This window comes from Homo sapiens, chromosome 1 (assembly GCF_000001405.40).
Source record: "Homo sapiens chromosome 1, GRCh38.p14 Primary Assembly".
NCBI lineage: Eukaryota > Metazoa > Chordata > Mammalia > Primates > Hominidae > Homo > Homo sapiens.
The window spans coordinates 44,718,976-44,738,107 of NC_000001.11; the positions used below are offsets into that span (position 1 = coordinate 44,718,976).

A 19,132-nucleotide genomic window follows, 5' to 3' on the forward strand; every position below is an offset into this window, starting at 1 on the left:
GATCGCACCATAGTACTCCAGCCTGGGCAACAAGAGTGAAACTGTCTCGGAAAAAAAAAAAAAAAAAAAAAAGGCATTTCTGAATGAAGCCACTATTTCTAAATCAGGAAGGTCCTCAGAGGAAAGGGTCTGCCCCACAAGGTCTGTCCCCCAAAGGGTGAATAAGTACTGGAAGGGGTAGCACAGGATGTCTTTGAAGATCTTCCACCTCCAGGTGATTTTTTAATTCTGTGATTGGGAAAACCAGGATGAGACAAAACTAGCTTTTATAGGGCTTCAGGACCAGGCCCCCTCTAGTGTGCCTCAAGGCTCTGGAGCCTGAGGATGATGGGCAAGAGGCAGAGGAGAGCAGGATCTGGCACAAGGGCAATTTCGAGGAGGCAGGCTGGTTCTCTACTAGTAGCCTTTCCATGCCTTTCCTTAGATTGACACACCAGCCAAAACTCATTCTCTTCTTCCTGCCGAAGGGCACTCTGAGCCCTGGAGTGGAGAAGTCAGCTCCCCATCCCTCCGCCGGTGTTTTCAGCACCCAGGAGAGCTGAGCATGCAGCCTGCAGCACACAGGATGTGGCTGCTCCCTCTGCCTTCCCAGACCACTGCTCTTTTGGAAATCATCAATGATAGTTTTCTGACAAAGTTAGAAATCGCCAGCATGTGTTCCTTTTTAGGCAGCATATGTCTGTTTGGAGTTAAACAAGTAAAGTTTGCAGGAGCTGAAGCAGAGACCTGTTCTGTGTGCTCTGTAAATCCACGCAGTCCACATCTCTGACCATCTCACCAGGTGCCCTGTGTCTCCCACTGTGAGAAGGACCACACTCTTCCCCTTTCTGTTGTGCCTGGGTTGTATGATATGAGCATCCATAGAGTGGTGCCCAGTTCTGGGGTGGCCAAGAAGTATAAGGTCCTGGCTTCAAAGCACTCTCAAAGTTGGCCATGGGGCCAGGTGCAGTGGCTCACGCCTGTAATCCCAACACTTTGGGAGGCCAAGGTGGGTGGATCACCTGAGGACAGGAGTTAGAGACCAGCCTGGCCAACATGGTGAAACCCCGTCTCTACTAAAAATACAAAAAAATTAGGCAGGTGTGGTGGCGGGCGCCTATAATCCTAGCTACTTGGGAGGCTGAGGCAGGAGAATTGCTTGAATCCATGAGGCAGAGGTTGCAGTGAGCCAAGATCGTGCCATTGCACTCCAGCCTGGGCAACAAGAGCAAAACTCTGTCTCAAAAAAAAAAAAAAAAAAAAAAAGTTGGCCATGGGGTATACGGGGAGACAGCTGCCACAGTTCTGGCTCTCCAGCCTGTCCAAGATTCAAGCTAGGAAAGTTCTGTAGCTGTGTGAATGAGGACCACAGTGGCCACTGCAGAGCCTCCTCTGGGGTCATCCACCACCAGGCTGGTGGTTTCTAAGCGTGGTCCTAGGCTGCCATGACCCAAGCCTCGCCTGTTGGAATGCAGAATCCAATGAGGTCTTTTCAACAAGATGTATGGAGCATGCATTGTGTACATGGAATGGTTTCAGGCTCTAGGTAAACAGAAGTGAGATGTGTCAGATATGTTCATTGGAGTTCACACACTAGTGAGGAGACCATTTAGTGGATAGTACTAGAATTCTATAGCAAGAATTCTATACGGTGCTACGGGTTCAGAGACATAGGACATCTACTCCTGAGTGAAGAGTGAAGGCAGAGGAGAGCAGGCCAGGGGCAGCTTCCTGAAAGTTGATTTCTCAGCTGAGCCTAGAAGAATGAGTAGCAATAGCCAGATAAAGAAGACTTCTCAGGCCGGGCGTGGTGGCTCACACCTGTAATCCCAGCACTTTCGGAGGCCAAGGCAGGTGGATCACTTGAGGTCAGGAGTTCAAGACCAGCCTGGCCAACATAGTGAAACCCTGTCTCTACTAAAAAATACAAAAATTAGCCAGGCGTGGTGGTGCGCACCTGTAATCCCAGCTACTCGGGAGGCTGAGGCAGGAGAATCCCTTGAACCCAGGAGGTGGAAGCTGCAGTGAGCCGAGATCGTACCACTGTACTCCAGCCTGGGTGACAGAGTGAAACTCCATCTCAAAACAAAACAAAACAAAAAAAGGGCAAAAGAAAGAGAAGGCACTGAGATTCTGCTCTCGGTGGGAAGTCTGATACCTCTAGCATACATACTTTAAGTTGGACCCCAGAAGACAGTACCCTCAAGGTCAAGGTGGGCCAAAAGTAAGCCGGCCCTCAGGTGGTCTTGTATGGATTATATAACTACCAGGTGGTCCAGAGAACCTCAAGTGTTGAATGTGGACAAAGGTAGTCCAGAATTGTTTGTGTCCCCAGGTACCTGATAAAAACAAAAGAAAACTATCTCTGGAAGAAAGTATCATCATCCTAACTCTTAAGTTTTTCCTACACTTAATTTTTCAAATATGAGACCAGTCCAAAGTATAAGATAATCATGCACACAAAGTCATCACTATAAATTGGAACTAGCACACTAGAAAGACTCACAAGACTTCAGCCAAATTATTAGATACAGACTGTCAAAAACTAGGTTTTCTTTTAAAAAAAAAAATCTTATAAACATTTAGCTTCCTAAATGTTTACAAGAAGCTAAAAAAACATGACAGTAGGCCGGGCACTACAAAAAGTACACAAAATTAGACAGGCTTATGAGGCTGAGGTGGGAGGATTGCTTGAGCATGGGAGATGGAGGTTGTAGTGAGCCGCGACCACACCACTCCGCTACAACCTGGGTGACATTTGTGGAGCTACCCCAACCTCCCAAAGCATGAAACACCCCACCCACACGTCTCTCTTTAGTAACAGAACATTCAGCCTTGCCTAGGCAAGACTTCAAAAAATTTAACCATAAACTCATAGTTGTTTTTCTCCACGGAAATCTTTAGTAAAAGGCGAAAGATTTATTCGTTATGAAGAGAAACCAGAGATCTGCCTGTTAGCCTTTTGCCTGGCTTCCCAGCTATTGACTGGTCTCCCTCTACTTACGGTGCCTTTGGACCTGCAGACAGAAGCTTTTCTTCCACTGTAGAAAAGTGTCCTAAACATGTTCTCACTGGGTAAAATCTCCTGACAAAGAAAAAAAGTTTAAATATTATTATTCAAACAGATAACCCTGGTAATAATTCTCGTATCTACAATGCATTCTGGGATGCAAATGAGCTGAGCGCCGGAACAAGAGTTCCTCTAAACCCTCTCTCTCTTACCAGTAAATGGAGAGAGGCACTTGACTACTGAGCTGGGGAGAGCACATGGCCAAGTCCTGTCTTCCATGTAGCCACATGTGTTCAGAGTAGCAGTGCCCGGTGCACAGTGACTCACACCTGTAATCCCTGCACTTAAGGAGGCAGAGGTAGGAGGATCGCTTGAGCCCAGGAGTTCAAGACCAGCCTGGACGACAGAGTAAGACCTTGTCTCAGAAAAAAAATAAAATTTAAATTTAAAAAAAAGTCCAGGCGTGGTGGCTCATGCCTGTAATCCCAGCACTTTGGGAGGCCGAGGCAGGAGTTCTCGGTCACTTTGGGAGCACTTTGGGAGGCCTGAGCACTTTGGGAGGCCTGAGGTCAGGAGTTCAAGACCAGCCTTGCCAACATGGTGAAACCCTGTCTCTACTAAATACAAAAATCAGCCGGGCGTGGTGGCAGACGCCTGTAATCCCAGCTTCCCAGGAGGCTGAGGCAGGAGTATCGCTTGAACCCGGGAGGCAGAGGTTGCAGTGAGCGATTGCACTCCAGCCTGAGTGATGACAGTGAAACTCCGTCTCAAAAAAACAAACAAACAAAAATACTAGCATTTACTGGCTGGGCCCACCGGGCCCAGTGGCTCATGCCTGCTATCCCAGCACTTTGGGAGGCCGAGGCGCGTGGATCACGAGGTCAGAAGTTCAAGACCAGCCTGGCCAAGATGGTGAAACCCCATCTCTACTAAAAATACAAAAAAAAAAAAAAAAAAAAATTAGCCGGGTGTGGTGGCGGGCGCCTGTAATCCCAGCCTACTCGGGAGGCTGAGGCAGGAGAATTGCTTGAACCCAGGAGGCGGAGGTTGCAGTGAGCCGAGATCGCGCCACTGCACTCCAGCCTGGGCGACAGAGTGAGGCTCTGTCTCAAAAAAAAAAAAAAGGTAGCATTTATGCTGGTGTGCCATCATCTTAGCATCTCCTTCTCCTCCTGCCCCCTCTAGCTCTGTGGTTCCTTTCTCTTCTTTACAAAAACATTCAATCCTTGCCGATTTTCTCTTGTGCTCCCACAGCCCAATCACTGACTCCTTCCACAGCACCTGTCACCATATCATCGCTGCCTGTTTGTGCACGCTTAAGGAGGGTTGGTCGAATGAATGAATTCAGTCTGTATCCTCAACACCCAATGCCGCGCCTGGCACCATAGGCGTTCACATGCAGCCGTGCCGAAAGACTGAGTGAATGCTGGACTGAATGAATGACTGCCTGTAAAATATCTACAGGAAAGCCCTGCAGGAAATGCCCTCCATAAATTCTAGTCCCCTTCTCCTTCCTAACCAAATCCTCCCCTCCTTCTGCTTCCATCACTTCCTAGCTGTGTAACTTAGGCAAAGTGGTTTACCTCTCTGTGTCTAATTTCGGCAAAGGTAAAATGGGGAAGTGAACCTCATCTGGTTCTGGTGAGCTTCCACGGGTGCTGTATGGAAAGCCTGGCACCCTGCCTGGTGGAGAGGGCTCGATGATGGTTAGAAGGAGAGTTTCTCTAAACTGCCGCCTACCTTCCTTCCCCTTTCTCATTTCCTGCCACAAGTCTCCCACCCACTTTCTCTGTCTCCCTCTCACCCCTTGTCTTTCTCCATCTTGTCTTCCCGTAAAGACCCAGCCCTTCCCTCCTCCATGAAACCTGGATTCCTCCAAGGCGAAGGCCCCCCTCTCTGGGGTCTCAGCCTCCAGCGCTGACATCCTAGGCCGCCTCGACAGGTGGGCTCACCATCCAACCCTTCCTCCTCCCCCTTCAGCCCCCTCCTCCTGCTCTTCAACTGAGGTTCGCCTTCCCAGCTCCCCCACGCCCTGCACAGTGCTGATCAGTAAAAGAGGAGGACACTGACGAGTGGCGACTTGGTTCACGGGGTTCTTTGCTTCCTCGGTGGCGGAGGGGCCTGGGGCCTCTCTCCAGCACCTCTGCCCTTCCGCAGCCATCGAGTTGATCAAAGACCTGGTCGGTTACGATGTGCGCCAGGCGCTGCTCAAGGGCCTCGTGGCGCTGCTGATACCGTCGGTCAAGGAGATCTCCAAACTGCAGGCCAAGATCCTCAGTGGTAAGGACCTGCTCAAATGGGGCTGCCTGGGCCACGGGAGGGCGGTCTCTTGCCTCACGGCTGCCCCCTCCTCAGACCCCTCGGTTCTCCAGCTCACCCCCAGCCTGCCGATGTTTTTGCAGCAGGCCGCGGCCGCCAAGGCCATCGGGTAAGCGGGCAGGGGTTAGTGGGTAGCTGCAGCAAGCCTGGCTTGGCGCTGCCGGCGGGCCCCGGGAGCGCTCCGTGCGCCGGGTGGGCGGGGGTGTGCGCCGGGTGAGCCCCAGGGCGTCGCCCCAGCCCGAACCCCCGGCCCAGGGTCCTGGCGCGCAACGACATGAGCATCGCCGAGGAGCTGCTGTACCTGCGCGTGGTGCGTGGCCTAATGGCCGCCATGGGCAACACGGACCACAGCAACAGCCAGCGGCTGGCCAGCCTCACGCTGGAGGTGCGCGCGGCGGCTGGTTAGGGGGCGGGAAGGGCGGCGGCACCCGCAGCCCCGTCGCCCCCGCAGTCACGCCGCCTCGCCCGCGCGGCGCAGTGCTTCGTGCAGATGTTCCCCTTGGTGGCGGAGCACGTGCGCAAGTGCATGGGGGAGGAACTCTACCAGCTCTTCCTGGTAAGTGCGCCCTTCCTGCCCCGCCGCAATGAGCAGATGGCGGCTCGGACAGTGTGATGCCCCTTCAGACAGTCCCCATCCTGGAGCGCGCCACATGCAGAGTGGACCTGGCCACCAGCTGCAGGAGGGACTGCTCTGGCGTAGGCTCCTCCACCCGCCACCTTCCTGTTCCCTTTCCTGCCCTTTCGGTCAGGCTGCCGACCCGCCCCCCACCTGCAACATCCCTCTGCCAAGCCCAACTCCAAGTCCAGACTGCCCTGGCACCCCAGCCGGGTCCCCCTTGCTCCTGTCCTCAGAGCAACGCTGAGGACTTGTACATGAAAATAGACAGCATTCAGGCGGACATCTTGGCGGCCAACACAGTCAATGTTACCAAAGGTGAGTGTGGGACGAGGGAAGCCGGGCGCAGGCGCCGCCAGCACAGCCTCACGCCCGCCTTTCCTGCCTGCAGCCCTGTGCCTCCATGGCAGCTCCTACAGCATGAACACTCTCTATGGCTCGCGCGATTCGGCTCAGATGGCCTACCTCACACACTTCGAGGAGGATGTAGAATCAAAGGAGTAACAGCCCCTGTGGCAAACCAGGAAGGCCAAGGCTGCGGGGCAGGGAAGCCTGGCAAGAGGAAGGCGCCTGGGGTCAAGCTCAGAGCCACTCCACTTGGCTCCAGGGGGGAGACGGGGATTAGGCATCCCAGAGGGGCAGAGGAAGAGCCGCTGGCTGCGAAGAGTCAATAAACAGCCTTGATACCTGTCTGTTCTTTGTGTGTGTGGAGGGGGAAGGGAGGTCAAGTGAGAGCTATGATGCTAGATTGTGGTGCCTGTGCTCCTCAAGTTAAAAAGCAGGTCCAAGTTTAGGACGGTGGCTTGCACCTGTAATCCTAGCTACTCTGCAGGCTGAAGGAAGAAGATCTCTTGAGCCCAAGAGTTGGAAGCCATCATGGACAACAAAGCAAGACCCCATCACAAAAACAGGCCGGGCACGGTGGCTCACGCCTGTAATCCTGGCAGTTTGGGAGGCTGAGGTGGGCGGATCGCCTGAGGTCAGGAGTTCGAGACCAGCCTGGCCAACAGGGTCAAACTCCGTCTCTACTAAAAAATAAATAAAAAATAAAAAATTAGCCGGGTGTGGTGGCACACACTTGTAATCCCAGCTACTTGGGAGGCTGAGGCAGGAGAATCACTTCAACCCGGGAGGTAGAGGCTGCAGTGAGCCAAGATCACACTACTGCACTCCAGCCTCCTGGGCGACAGAGTGAGACTCATTCTCAAAAAAAAAAAAAAAAAAAAAAAGCAGATCCAGAGGGAAGGGCCACCAACACCCTAGAAGGTTCAAGGGCATAGCCTGAATAGAGGGCCTCACCTCCACTCCCTGATGGCCTATGCACCCTTTCCTCCAGAACACCCTACCTACCTGGTTTTTCTCCGGTTGTTACAGACATTAAAGGGGGTCGTTTGATCCTAATGGGTCCTTTCCTTGCCTGGAACCATTTGCACCAATAGAACAAGGCCAGGTTCCATAAAGCAGAGCAGAAGCTTTATTCATTGATCTAGGAGATAGCAACAGGAGGCAGCCAAATGCCTAGGCAGATAGGGGTGGGTCCCCAGTGAACCCCACCTTCAAACCAAAAACAGCCTGAAGGCTGAAAGACCGACTGCTGGTCCTGGATGAAACCCACAACCCAGAGTGAGAACTTCTGTTTCTGTTTGCCTGCCCTTTCCTGATTGATTCTTTCTGAATAATGCCTTTTAACCAATTGAATGTTGCCTTTTCCAATACTACCTATGGCCTGCCCTTCCCCCATTCTGAGCCCATAGAAGCCCTGGACTCAGCCATATTAGGGGGACTTTCCCACTTTCAGGTAGGGGGACCACCCCCCACAGCCACCGAAAGCTGTTTTATCACTCAGTAAAACCCCACCTTGCTCACTCTTCAATTGCCAGTGCATCCTCATTCTTCTTGGGCTCGTGGGACGAGAACTCGGGAACCAGTGCATAAGCTAGACTCCGCCAACTGGACTGAGCGGGTGGGTCGTCTCCTGCAGCAAGTAAAGGCCATCTCCTGCAGCAGGTAGCCTGGCGAGTGAGACCTGGCAGGGCATTGCTGGCCAGAGGTCCCCAGCTTGCAAAGTGACCAAGAAGAAAACCTTACATCATAGGAATGGAGGAAGGGGAGCTCATGCTCAAAGCACCTTCTCCCAGGGGGAGGGGCCTGGTAAAAAGGGAGTCTCAAGGGAACTTAGGGCAGGTAGGTGGAGACTGGGTTGAGGATTTCTGGAAAAAGGTAGGTTCTTCCAGGAGGGGCTGGAGTGTGCATAGTCTTTTTTTTTTTTTTTTTTTTTTTTTGAGACGGAGTCTCGCTGTGTCACCAGGCTGGAATGCAGTGGCACAATCTCGGCTCACTGCAACCTCAGCCTCCTGAGTAGCTGGGGCTACAGGCATGCACTACCAAACCCAGCTAACTTTTGTATTTTTAGTAGAGATGGGGTTTCACCATCTTAGCCAGGCTGGTCTCGAACTCCTGACCTCATGATCTGCCCGCCTCAGCCTCCCAAAGTGCTGGGATTACAGGCGTGAGCCACCACACCCAGCTTTTTTTTTTTTTTTTTTTTTTAGACAGGGTCTCTGTTGCTCAGGCTGGAGTGCAGGGGTGCAATCTCGACTCACTGCAACCTCTGCTTCCCAGGCTCAAGCAATTCTCATGCCTCAGCCTCCGGAGTAGCTGGGACTACAGATGTGCACCACGACCACATTCAGCTAATATTTTTTTCTTTTTTTGTAGAGATGAGGTCTCACTATGTTGTCCAGGCTGGTCTCCAACTCCTGGGCTCAAGTGATCCTCCTGCCTTGGCCTCCCAAAGTGCTGGGATTGTAGGCATGAGCCACTGTGCCTGGCCTGAGTGTGCATGGTGTTGTTTTTTCTTTTGAAGATTTCTCCTCTTCAATCCAGTCTCATTCAAGTTGGAGTGAGGCAGGGCTCCTGGTCTGGAGTCTCTCTTCTATCTGCTTTTACACCCTGCTGATTTCATCCTGTCTCAGAACTTTAAATATCATTATAGGCCAATGACTCCTACATTTCTATTTCCAGCTAAACATTTCCACCTCATCGTGTCTAAAACTGAACTCCTAATCCCGTGCCACTTTCCCCAATTCAACTCATGGCAACTCATCCTTCCTATAAAACAAAACAAAATAGTGGAGTGCTTTTTAATGTCCGTCTTTAGCACCCATATCTATTATGTCTGTTGGCTCTATCTTCCAAATACATCCAGAATCCAACCATATCTCACTACCTCTATTGTTAATACTCTGGGCTGAGCCACTATCATCTCTCTTCAACGTTATTCTGCTTTTCTCCCTCTTCCTGTTCTCTTTTCTTTTAGTTTCTTTTTTTTTGAGATGAAATGTCACTCTGTCACCCAGGCTGGAGTGCAGTGGTGTGATCTAGGCTCACTGGCACCCACCACCTCCTGGGCTCAAGCAATTCTCCTGCCTCAGCCTCCCGAGTAGCTAGGATTACAGGCTTCTGCCACCACGCCTAGCCAATTTTTGTATTTTTAGTAGAAACAGGAGTTCACCATGTTGGCCAAGCTGGTCTCAAACTCCTGACCTCAAATTATCCACTCACTTCAGCCTCCCAAAGTACTGGGATCACAGGCGTGAACCACTGTGCCCAGTCAATACCTGTTCTCTTTTTAATACGACAGCCAGGGTTATCCTTTTAAGCTTCAGATTCTATCACTGGGCTCAAACCTTGGAGGGCTCCCCATTTCGCTGAATGAAGACCCTAGGTGCTCAGGTTTCCCATCACCTCTCTAAACTCTTCTGCCTCTGTCTGTCCTTCACTCTGCTCCAGACACACTGGACTCCCTTGCTGGTTCTTTTTTTTTTTTTTTTTTTTTTAATTGGCAAAGAGGCCGGGCGCGGTAGCTCACGCCTGTAATCCCAGAACTTTGGGAGGCCAAGGTGGGCAGATCACGAGGTCAAGAGATGGAGACCATCCTGGCTAACACAGTGAAACCCCATCTCTACTAAAAATACAAAAACTTAGCCGGGCGTGGTGGCGGGCACCTGTAGTCCCAGCTACTCAGGAGGCTGAGGTAGGAGAATGGCGTGAACCCGGGAGGCGGAGCTTGCAGTGAGCCGAGATCGCGCCACTGCACTCCATCCAGCCTGGGCGACAGAGCAAGACGCCGTCTCAAAAAAAGAAAAAGAAAAAAAGAAATTGGCAAACAAGCTCTTGTCTCAACGCTATTGTACTGACTGTTCACTCTGCCTAGAACTTCATCCCATATATCCACAGGGCTCACTCCCCCATCTCCCTTCAACTCTACAAGAAGGCCTACTCTTTTTAAAATTGCAATGCACACTACCATTCTCTATACTCACCACCTCCCCTCCCACCTTACTCTGCTATTTTTTTCCATAGCATTACCTTATTATGTTTATTAATAGTATGTCCTCCATCTGACTGTAAACTCCACGAGGACAGGGATACTGTTAGGACAATACCTGGCATGCATGAATCAGTGACTGAGGTATTGTGAGGGAATAGTCCCTCCAAGTCGGAGGAAATGAAGTCAGATGGCAGTAATTCTCCAGGATGCCACAAGAGGGCATCACCAGCCCTGACATTGTTGGTCTAAGGCAGTTCTGCTTTCCCCACTTATTTTGAGCCTCAGCTTTCCTCTTTTTGTACCTACAAAGGAGAGAAAAGTTAACAAAATATATTTATGTTTTGTTGTTATGTTTTCTTTAAAGCTAAATGGATTTCCTATTTTATTTTTGCTGATTTTATTTATTTATTTATTTATTTATTTATTTTTGAGACGGAGTCTCGCTCTTTTGCCAGGCTGGAGTGCAGTGACGCAGTCTCGGCTCACTGCAACCTCCGCCTCCCGGGTTCAAGAGATTCTCCTGCCTCAGCCTCCCAAGTAGCTGGGATTACAGGCATGCGCTACCACGCCCGGCTAATTTTTGTATTTTTAGTAGAGATGGGGTTTCACCATGTTGGCCAGGCTGGTCTTGAACTCCTGACCTTGTGATCCACCCGCATCGGCCTCCCAAAGTGCTGGGATTACAGGCGTGAGCCACCACGCCTGGCCTTATTTTTTTATTTTATTTTATTTTATTTTATTTTATTTATTTTATTTTATTTTTGGGGACGGAGTCTCACTCTGTCTCCCAGGCTGGAGTGCAGTGGCGCAATCTCGGCTCACTGCAACCTCCGCCTCCTGGGTTCAAGCGATTCTCTGCCTCAGCCTCCCAAGTAGCTGGGATTACAGGCGCCTGCCGCCATGCCCACGCCCAGCTAATTTTTGTGTTTTTAGTAAAGACGGGATATCATCATGTTGGCCAGGCTAGTCTTGAACTCCTAACCTCAAGTGATCCACCCGCCTTGGCCTCCCAAAGTGCTGGGATTACAGGTGTGAGCCACCGCGTCCACCGCGTCAGGCTGAGAGATCAAGTCATTTTTAGTTTTTAGTCTTTTTTTTCTTTTTATTTTTGGTCATTGTTTGGTTTTAGTTTTTAGTCTTGAAATGTTTTCTTTTGTATAATGGTAAAAAAATAGTACCCCAGAACTTTTTCGGAAATTTTAATAATTGGGAAATCCAAAAATCTAGGAACCACTGGGCTAAAGTGATCATAATTTAAAAAAAAAAAAAACCCTTTAAAAACTAAACTGGCCAAGCGGGAAGCGGTGGCTCACGGGAGGTTGAGGTGGGTGGATCACTTGAGGCCAGGAGTTTAAGGCCGCAGTGAGCTATAATCGTGCCACTGCACTCCAGACTGAGTGACACAGTGAGACCGTTTCTAGAATAAATTAATTAAAAACAAAACAAAACAAAACCACAAAACAAAACCAAATTTTCGCACGGTGGCTCATGCTTGTAATCCCAGCACTTTGGGAGGCCAAGGCGGGCAGATCAGCCTGGCCAATGTGGGAAATCCCCATCTCTATTAAAATACAAAAACTAACAGGGAATGGTGTTGCCACCTGTAGCCCCAGCTACTTGAGAGACTGAAGCAGGAAAATCCCTTGAAGCCGGCAGGCAAAGATTGCTCACTACAGTCTAGTCTAAAACCCCACTTCCAAAAAAATAAAAAACGCACACTCACACCATTACAACAGCCCAAAATAAATGTTCAAACAAAATGTTGTCTCACACCTCGCAACAAACACACAACTTTCTATCTGATTTTTAAACACCGTTGATGAACCCCACCAACATAGGGCTTCAAAAAATTTGCTTGAAACTCAAAACGGTTTCTCTCCACGGAAATCTTTAGTAAAAGGCGAAAGATTTATACGATTTGAAGAGAAACCAGAGCATGTGTTGGAATGGTTGCACACAGTCCTCGGGGGACGGTCACTACTAGATTAGCAATGGTTACTATTAACCCAAAAGAGTGACTTCTGTTTTTGTCTCAGACGATTGTGTGAAAGGAGCTTCGTTATTATGGTAAAGGAAAAGAGGGGGAAAAAAGGGAGAATCTCCTTTTAAAGTAGGACGTGGTCTGTGTGCAGTGCATTGTGGGTATGTAAATGACGCTGAGTCACCACCCCCTCGGTTTCCAGAAATACCTTAAATAGTTCGTTACTTTTTCTAGGCGTTAGGCCACCACCAGGGGGCAGAGCGGAAGCCAGATTTACAGAACTGTAGATGCCTGGTCCAACTAGACAGTGACTTTATTTTATAATTGGCACTTAAAGTAAAAAAAAAAAAAATTAAAAGCTTTAAAATAATTGTATTCATAGGCCTGGCGCGGTGGCTCACGCCTGTAATCCCAGCACTTTGGGAGGCCGAGGCGGGCGGATCACGAGGTCAGGAGATCGAGACCATCCTGGCCAACATGGTGAAACCCCGTCTCTACTAAAAATACAAAAATTAGCTGGGCGTTGTGGCGTTCGCATGTAGTCACAGCTACTTGGGAGGCTGAGACAGGAGAATTGCTTGAACCCAGGAGGCGGAGGCTGCAATGAGCCGAGACTGCACCACTGCACTCCAGCCTGGGCAACAGGAGACTCCACCTCAAAAGAAAAGAAAAGAAAACCACATCATAGCAAATACTGAATTTTGTATCATCCCTCTGCCTTCCACAGTATGTAACAAAGACTCCAAAAAGAGTAGCTTGAACAAGCAAGAAGTTTATTTTCACCTTACCTGAAGGAAGCCCGGAGAAGAAATTCTGAGTTGTTACAGAGGTGTCAGGGCTTAGAACATGATACCCCAACATATGGCACCTTGGCATACTGAGTATTTTAAGCCATCAAAGAAACTGAGAAAACTATATAAGCAGGAAGTTATTTTTGACCTTTTCCTTCTCTTCTCCCATGAAGACCTTCGTGTGACCAGTGTCCTGCCTTATGCCCACAGGGAATGAATGTCACACAGAGGCCAAGAATAATCTGAACAAACAGGCTTTGCCAAGTACCCCCCCCACCCATCCAGTTTATTACCATTCGATCATACACTTTTTTTTTTTTTAAAGAGTCTCGCTCTGTCCCCCAGGCTGGAGTCCAGTGGCGCGATCTCTGCTCACTGCAAGCTCCGCCTCCCGGGTTCATGCCATTCTCCTGCCTCAGCCTCCTGAGTAGCTGGGACTCAGGCGCCTACCACCACGCCTGGCTAATTTTTTGTATTTTTAGTAGAGATGGGAGTTTCACTCTGTCAGCCAGGATGGTCTCAATCTCCTGACCTCGTGATCTGCCCGCCTTGGCCTCTCAGAGTGCTGGGATTACAGGCGTGAGCCACTGCGCCTGGCATTTTTTTTTTTTTTTTTTTTTGAGACAGTGTCTTGCTCTGTGTCCCAGGCTGGAGTGCAGTGGTGCAATCGAGGGCCACTGAAGTCTTGAACTCCTGGGATCAAGCAGTCCTCCTGCCTCAGCCTCCCAAGTAGCTAGGACTACAGAAGCATACTACCACAGCTGGCTAATTTTTAAATTTTTTGTAGAGATGACATCTTGCTATGCTGCCCAGGCTGGTCTTGAACTTCTGACCTCAAGCAATCCTCCTGCCTTGGCCTCCCAAAGTGCTGGGGTTACAGGCATGAGCCACTGCACCTGGCCAGAAAATTTTTGATCATTCCTTTATTAGCTATTAAAGCAAATGGAATGATAAAACATTTACTAAATATTCTAAAATTTACTAAAAATTTTACTAAAAATGTACTAAATTTTCTTGTGCCAGTTTTGACATTTTTGACTTTTTTTTTCTAGAAATGTAGAAACTTATTCACACAACAAGAAGTATGGAGACAGGTGGATCAGGAGGTCAGGAGATCAAGACCATCCTGGCTAACATGGTGAAACCCCATCTCTACTAAAAATATAAAAAATTACCTGGGCATGGTGGCACACGCCTGTAATCCCAGCTACTTGGGAGAATTGCTTGAACCCGGGAGGCAGAGGTTGCAGTGAGCTGAGGTCTCACCACTGCACTCCAGCCTGGGCGACAGAGCGAGACTCTGTCTCAAAAAAAAAAAAAAAAATGACATATGGAGATAGAAATTAAAAATGTATATATATGGAAGTAGGTAGTCGCTAGCATTGGTTCAACTACTGAACCATCAAGAACCCTCTTAGGCTCTTCCTGCTGTACTTGGCTGTCCTGAGCATGTTGGCTTTTAACCAAATTACTGTCTCCTGCCTCATGACCACAAGGCAGCTGTCACAACTCCAGAAAGAACATCCCATGTCCAAGCCAAGAAAAAAGGGATGACACCAGGAAAGCATTTTCTGTCATTCCCTTTTAACAGAAAAACAACAAGTCTTGCCCACAAGCCCCCAGAACTCTCCTGCTTACATCTCATTGGCCAGAACTGTGTCCCATGGCCAGCTCTAATTGCATGGGAGTCTGGGAAAGGAAGTATAGTAACTATAAAGCTTTTTCAGTCTCTAATGTGGAAATGATTTAGGAAGAAGGGGGTTGAGAATACCTGCTGAATTAACCATCAACAGTGTATGTCACAAACAGTTGGTTCATTTGTTTTCTACCCTATTTTCTTTATCCCTTCCTGATGTCTTTTGGGTGAATCCTCACCCTTGATCCTGTTGCTCCTCATTTCATTTTGGCTGTAACCATTCTGCTATTCAATTCATGTATGGATTTCAACTATTAAATTTTTCAAGCCTGGTATTTTCAGTTGCTTCTTCCTGCCTTAACAATATCCTTCCTTATCTTTTGAAGATGTTCATTATGCTTATTTCTTTTTTCTTTTTTTGAGATGGGGTTTGGCTCTTGTTGCTCAGACTGGAGTGCAGTGGTGCAGTCTTGGCTCACTTCAATCTCTGCCTCCCGGGTTCAAGCAATTCTCCTGCCTCAGCCTCCCTCCTGAGTAGCTGGGATTACAGGCGCCCGCCACCACACCCGGCTAATTTTTGTATTTTTAATAGAGATGGGATTTTACCATGTTGGCCAGATCAAGTGATCTGCCCGCCTCAGCCTTCCAAAGTGCTGGGATTACAGGCATGAGCTACCACGCCTAGCCCATTATGCTTATTTCAAACTATCAGATCTATTAATTCTGCTTCCTCTAATATCAGTTTCTGACCAGATGTGGTGGCTCAAGTCTGTAATCCCAGTATTTTGGGAGGCTGAGGCAGGCAGATCACCTGAGGACAGGATTTTGAGACAGGCCTGGCCAACATGGCAAAACCCCGTCTCTACTGAAAATACAAAAATTAGCCAGGTGTGGTGGTGGGCACCTATAGTCCCAGTTACTCAGGATTCTGAGGCAGGAGAATCGCTTGAACCCGGGAGGCAGAGGTTGCAGTGAGCCAAGATCATGACACTGCACTCCAGCTCAAAAAAACAAAAACAAAAACAAAAATCCCAGCATTTTGGGAGGCTGAGGCAGGAGAATTGCTTGAATCTGGAGGCGGAGCTCGCAGTGAGCCGAGATCATGCCACTGCACACCAGCCTGGGCCACAGAATGAGACTCCGTCTCAAAAAAAAAAATTAGTTTCTCAGTCTGTCGTTTTCCTATTATTGCAAATGTGTTCCCCTTTAACTTCACATCACCCTGGGGGCATCAGTGATTGTGACAGGGGAAAACAAAAGCCCAGAACCCAGGATACACAGTATAGGAGGAGGTACAGAGATTATGTCTAAAGTCAGGTATGTTCCTACGTGGCCAGGCTAGGGCACTGAGACAGCGCTGCTGGTTTTCTGCCTCACAGTGGCAATGGGGCAGTTAACGACCCACCCACGGCCTTGGGGGATAAGAGTGGTATATGGAGGGAGGGGCGATGGTGAGCACAACTAAAGAGCTCTCCCTCAGCCTGCCCCGCATGTCAGGGTGTCTGACCCTCTTCCACTCTGGCTGCAGTCACAGTCTCCCCACAACTGGCTCCTGGCCGCCACCTTCTCTTTTTTTGAGATGGAGTCTCGCTCTGTCACCCAGGCTGGAGTGCAGTGGCGCAATCTCAGCTCACTGCAACCCCGCCTCCCGGGTTCAAGCAATTATCCTGCCTCAGCCCCCAAGTAGCTGGGACTATAGTCATGTGCCACCACACCCGGTTAATTTTTTGGATTTTTATTAGAGACGGGGTTTCACTGTGTTAGCCAGGACGGTCTAGATCTCCTGACCTCGGGATCCACCTGACTCAGCCTCCCAAAGTGTTGGGATTACAGGCGTGAGCCACCGCGCCCGGCCTTTTTTTTTTTTGAGATAGAGTCTCTGTCACCTAGGCTGTAGTGCAGTGGTGTGATCTCAGCTCACTGCCACTTGCAACTCCCGCCTTCTGGGTTCAGGTGATTCCTGTGCCTCAGCCTCCCAAGTAGCTGGGATTACAGTCTTGTGCCATCACACCCAGCTAATTTTTATATTTTTAGTAGAGACAGCGTTTCACTATGTTGGCCAGACTGGTCTTGAACTCCTGGCCTCAAGTTATTCTCCTGCCTCAGCCTCCCAAAGTGCTGGGATTACAGGTGTGAATCACCACAGCTGGCCCACCTTCTTTTTTTTTTTTTTGAAACAGGGTCTCATTCTGTTCCCCAGGCTCAAGCGCAGCTGCACGATCATAGCACACTGCGGCCTCGAACTCCCCAGGCCCAGGTGATCCTCCCACCTCAGCCTCCTGAGTAGCCAGGACTACAGGCATGTGCCACCACACCCAGCTAATTTTTGTATTTTTTGCAGAGATGGGGGTCTCACTGTGTCACCCAGGGTGGTCTGGATCTACTGAGCTCAAGCAATCTGCCTGTCTTGGCCTCCCAAAGTGTTGGGATTACAGGTATGAGCCACTGCATCCAACTTAGTCCATTTTCTGTTGCTATAACAAAATACTGGAGACTGGGTAATTTATAATGAACATAAATTTATTTCATTCATGGTTCTGGAGGCTGAGAAGTCCAAGAGCATGGTGCTTGGATCTTGTGAGGGCCTTTTTGCTGCATTATAACATGGCAGAGAGCAATAACATAGTGACAGGGCAAGAGCGTGTCAGCTCAAGTCTCTCTTCTTCTTCTTATAAAGCTACCAATTCCATCACAGGGCCCCATCCTGATGACTTTATTAATCCTAATTACCTCCCAAAGGCCCCACCTCCAAATGCCATCAATATGTGAATTGGGGGATTAAGTTTCCAGCACATAAAATTTGGGGGACTCATTCAAACCACAGCATATCCCTAAACAATATTCCATCTATTCTTGTCTCTCTAGTCTGGTTCTCACCCTCAATAGTTCACCAAGACTGCACAAGGTCAGCAATGACTTAGGTGCTAATAAATCCAAAGGATACTAGAATGTCCTCATCTTATTTGGCCTCTTGAGTAGCTCTTCAGAGTTACTTTCACCTTCTTCATTCCATCCCTTGACTTCTAAGGAACTCCCCCCAACTCTTTTGTTTTCTTCATCCCTTCAAACCACCCTAATCCCATCTCCTTTGCTGGCTCCTCCTCCCCTGCCCTACCTCAAAATATTGGCAAGTCCCATGGCTCAATTATACATGTTCCTCTCATCTCCATCTATATTCTTTTCCTAGATAGTATTCAGCTCATGACTCCAAATACCATCTACATAATGCAGACTGCCAAATCTCAATCTCTTGCTTTGACCTCTACCTTAGCTCCCAGTTTGTATATCCAACTGCTCAGTTGACACCTACACTCAGATGTCTTGTAGACATCTCAAATTCAAAATGAACAAAATGAAACCCTGGACTTAACCCCCAACTCATTCCTTCACAATCCCACTTTCCCTTTTCAGGACATGGTCCATCATCCAGCCAGGTGCTCTAGCCAGAAACCAGGAGTCATCCATGACCACCCCTGTCATTCACATCCAACTCATCAGCAAAACCCATTCACTTCACTTCCCAAACATGGGGTATCTTGAATCAGTTCTTTCAGCCATACTTCCAATCCAGTATCACTACCCTGGCCTATGCCAGCATAATCTCTTGCCTACTAAGCGGTCTCTGCCTTCTGTCTTGCCCCTTTCAAATCTACTCTCCACACAATAGCAAGTTTGACTGACATAAAAGTAAAATGTAGGCTGGGCGCAGTGGCTCACACCTGTAATCCCAGCACTTTAGGAGGCCGAGGTGGGCGGATCACCTGAGGTCGGGAGTTCACGACCAGCCTGACCAACATGGTGAAACCCCGTCTCTACTAAAAATACAAAATTAGCCGGGCATGATGGTGCATCTCTGTAATCCCAGTTACTTTGGAGGCTGAGGCAGGAGAATTGCTTGAACCTGGGAGGCAGAGGTTGTGGTGAGCCGAGATCGCACCATTGCACTCCAGCCTGGGCAACAAGAGTGAAATTCTGTCTCAAAAAAAAAAAAAAAAAAAAGTAAAATGTAAATCAGATCATGTTAGTCCCCTGCTTAAAACTTTTCAATGACTTCTCATTAGCATAAAAGCCAAAATTATTACTACAGGCCACAAGATGCTCTATGATTTTGCCCCTCCCCACCTCTTCAACTTCTTCTGATGCTCCTCTCCCCCACTGCCTTCCAGTCATCAGTTCTTCAAACAAGACCTTTCCTGGCCAGGCACAGTGGTTCATGCCTGTAATACCAGCATTTTGGGAGGCTGAGGCAGGCAGATCGTCAAGAACAGGAGGCCGGGCTTGGTGGTTCACACATGTAATCCTAGCACTTTGGGAGGTTAAGGAGGGAGGATCTTTGAGCCCAGGAGTTCAAGACCAGCCTGGGCAACATAGCAAGACACTGTCTCTAATTAAAAAAAAAAAAAACCTCTCCCTTTCCCCCTCCCCCTCTCCCCGGTCTCCCTCTGATGCCAAGCCGAGGCTGAACTG

The 19,132-nt window shown here is 48.9% G+C and overlaps 1 protein-coding gene, 1 long non-coding RNA gene and 2 other non-coding genes across 32 annotated transcripts in view, besides 4 other annotated features; 1 reads left to right on the top strand and 3 right to left on the bottom strand.

Moving 5' to 3' along the window:
* The window catches only part of LOC105378690 (uncharacterized), a 36,515-nt gene extending 30,662 nt beyond the window's left edge, over positions 1-5,853 (bottom strand). For 2 of the 4 annotated variants that reach the window (XR_007066059.1, XR_947286.4), the window contains exons 1-2: positions 5,060-5,144; positions 2,984-3,064 (exon numbers count right to left, since the gene is read on the bottom strand). This is a non-coding gene — a long non-coding RNA (uncharacterized LOC105378690). Of the gene's footprint in view, positions 1-2,983; positions 3,258-5,059 lie in introns of those variants that run through there. The other 2 variants (XR_001738032.2, XR_007066058.1) reach the window with 2 other exon arrangements.
* The window catches only part of ARMH1 (armadillo like helical domain containing 1), a 50,878-nt gene extending 44,262 nt beyond the window's left edge, over positions 1-6,616 (top strand). For 9 of the 26 annotated variants that reach the window (XM_011541340.2, XM_006710603.3, XM_011541345.2 and 6 more), the window contains 6 exons: positions 5,147-5,269; positions 5,345-5,417; positions 5,546-5,693; positions 5,787-5,864; positions 6,161-6,242; positions 6,316-6,616. In XM_011541340.2, coding sequence (XP_011539642.1) covers positions 5,147-5,269; positions 5,345-5,417; positions 5,546-5,693; positions 5,787-5,864; positions 6,161-6,242; positions 6,316-6,428 — 617 coding nt within the window. In that variant the 3' untranslated portion in view covers positions 6,429-6,616. Of the gene's footprint in view, positions 1-424; positions 1,824-3,204; positions 3,445-5,146; positions 5,270-5,344; positions 5,526-5,545; positions 5,694-5,786; positions 6,243-6,315 lie in introns of those variants that run through there. The other 17 variants (XR_001737140.2, XR_001737141.2, NM_001145636.2 and 14 more) reach the window with 17 other exon arrangements.
* RNU5F-1 (RNA, U5F small nuclear 1) lies at positions 2,810-2,927 on the bottom strand. Its single transcript, NR_002753.7, has one exon. It is a non-coding gene; the product is annotated as an RNA, U5F small nuclear 1 (small nuclear RNA).
* Positions 4,462-4,756: a silencer, noted in NCBI's record as "tiled region #12667; K562 Repressive DNase matched - State 6:EnhF". NCBI's record gives its function as "represses a minimal TATA promoter and a strong SV40 promoter by Sharpr-MPRA in K562 cells {active_cell/tissue: K562}" and the evidence as "EXISTENCE:reporter gene assay evidence [ECO:0000049][PMID:27701403]".
* Positions 10,365-10,414: a silencer, noted in NCBI's record as "silent region_816". NCBI's record gives its function as "represses an Ori minimal core promoter by ATAC-STARR-seq in GM12878 lymphoblastoid cells {active_cell/tissue: GM12878}" and the evidence as "EXISTENCE:reporter gene assay evidence [ECO:0000049][PMID:35858748]".
* On the bottom strand, positions 12,094-12,195 carry RNU5D-1 (RNA, U5D small nuclear 1). The gene has a single exon (NR_002755.4). It is a non-coding gene; the product is annotated as an RNA, U5D small nuclear 1 (small nuclear RNA).
* Positions 14,302-14,596: a silencer, noted in NCBI's record as "tiled region #12642; HepG2 Repressive non-DNase unmatched - State 3:PromF". NCBI's record gives its function as "represses a minimal TATA promoter and a strong SV40 promoter by Sharpr-MPRA in HepG2 cells {active_cell/tissue: HepG2}" and the evidence as "EXISTENCE:reporter gene assay evidence [ECO:0000049][PMID:27701403]".
* Positions 15,683-16,242: an enhancer, noted in NCBI's record as "H3K4me1 hESC enhancer chr1:45200330-45200889 (GRCh37/hg19 assembly coordinates)". NCBI's record gives its function as "activates a minimal SCP1, AML or CMV promoter by ChIP-STARR-seq in naive H9 embryonic stem cells {active_cell/tissue: H9 hESC(naive)}" and the evidence as "EXISTENCE:reporter gene assay evidence [ECO:0000049][PMID:30033119]".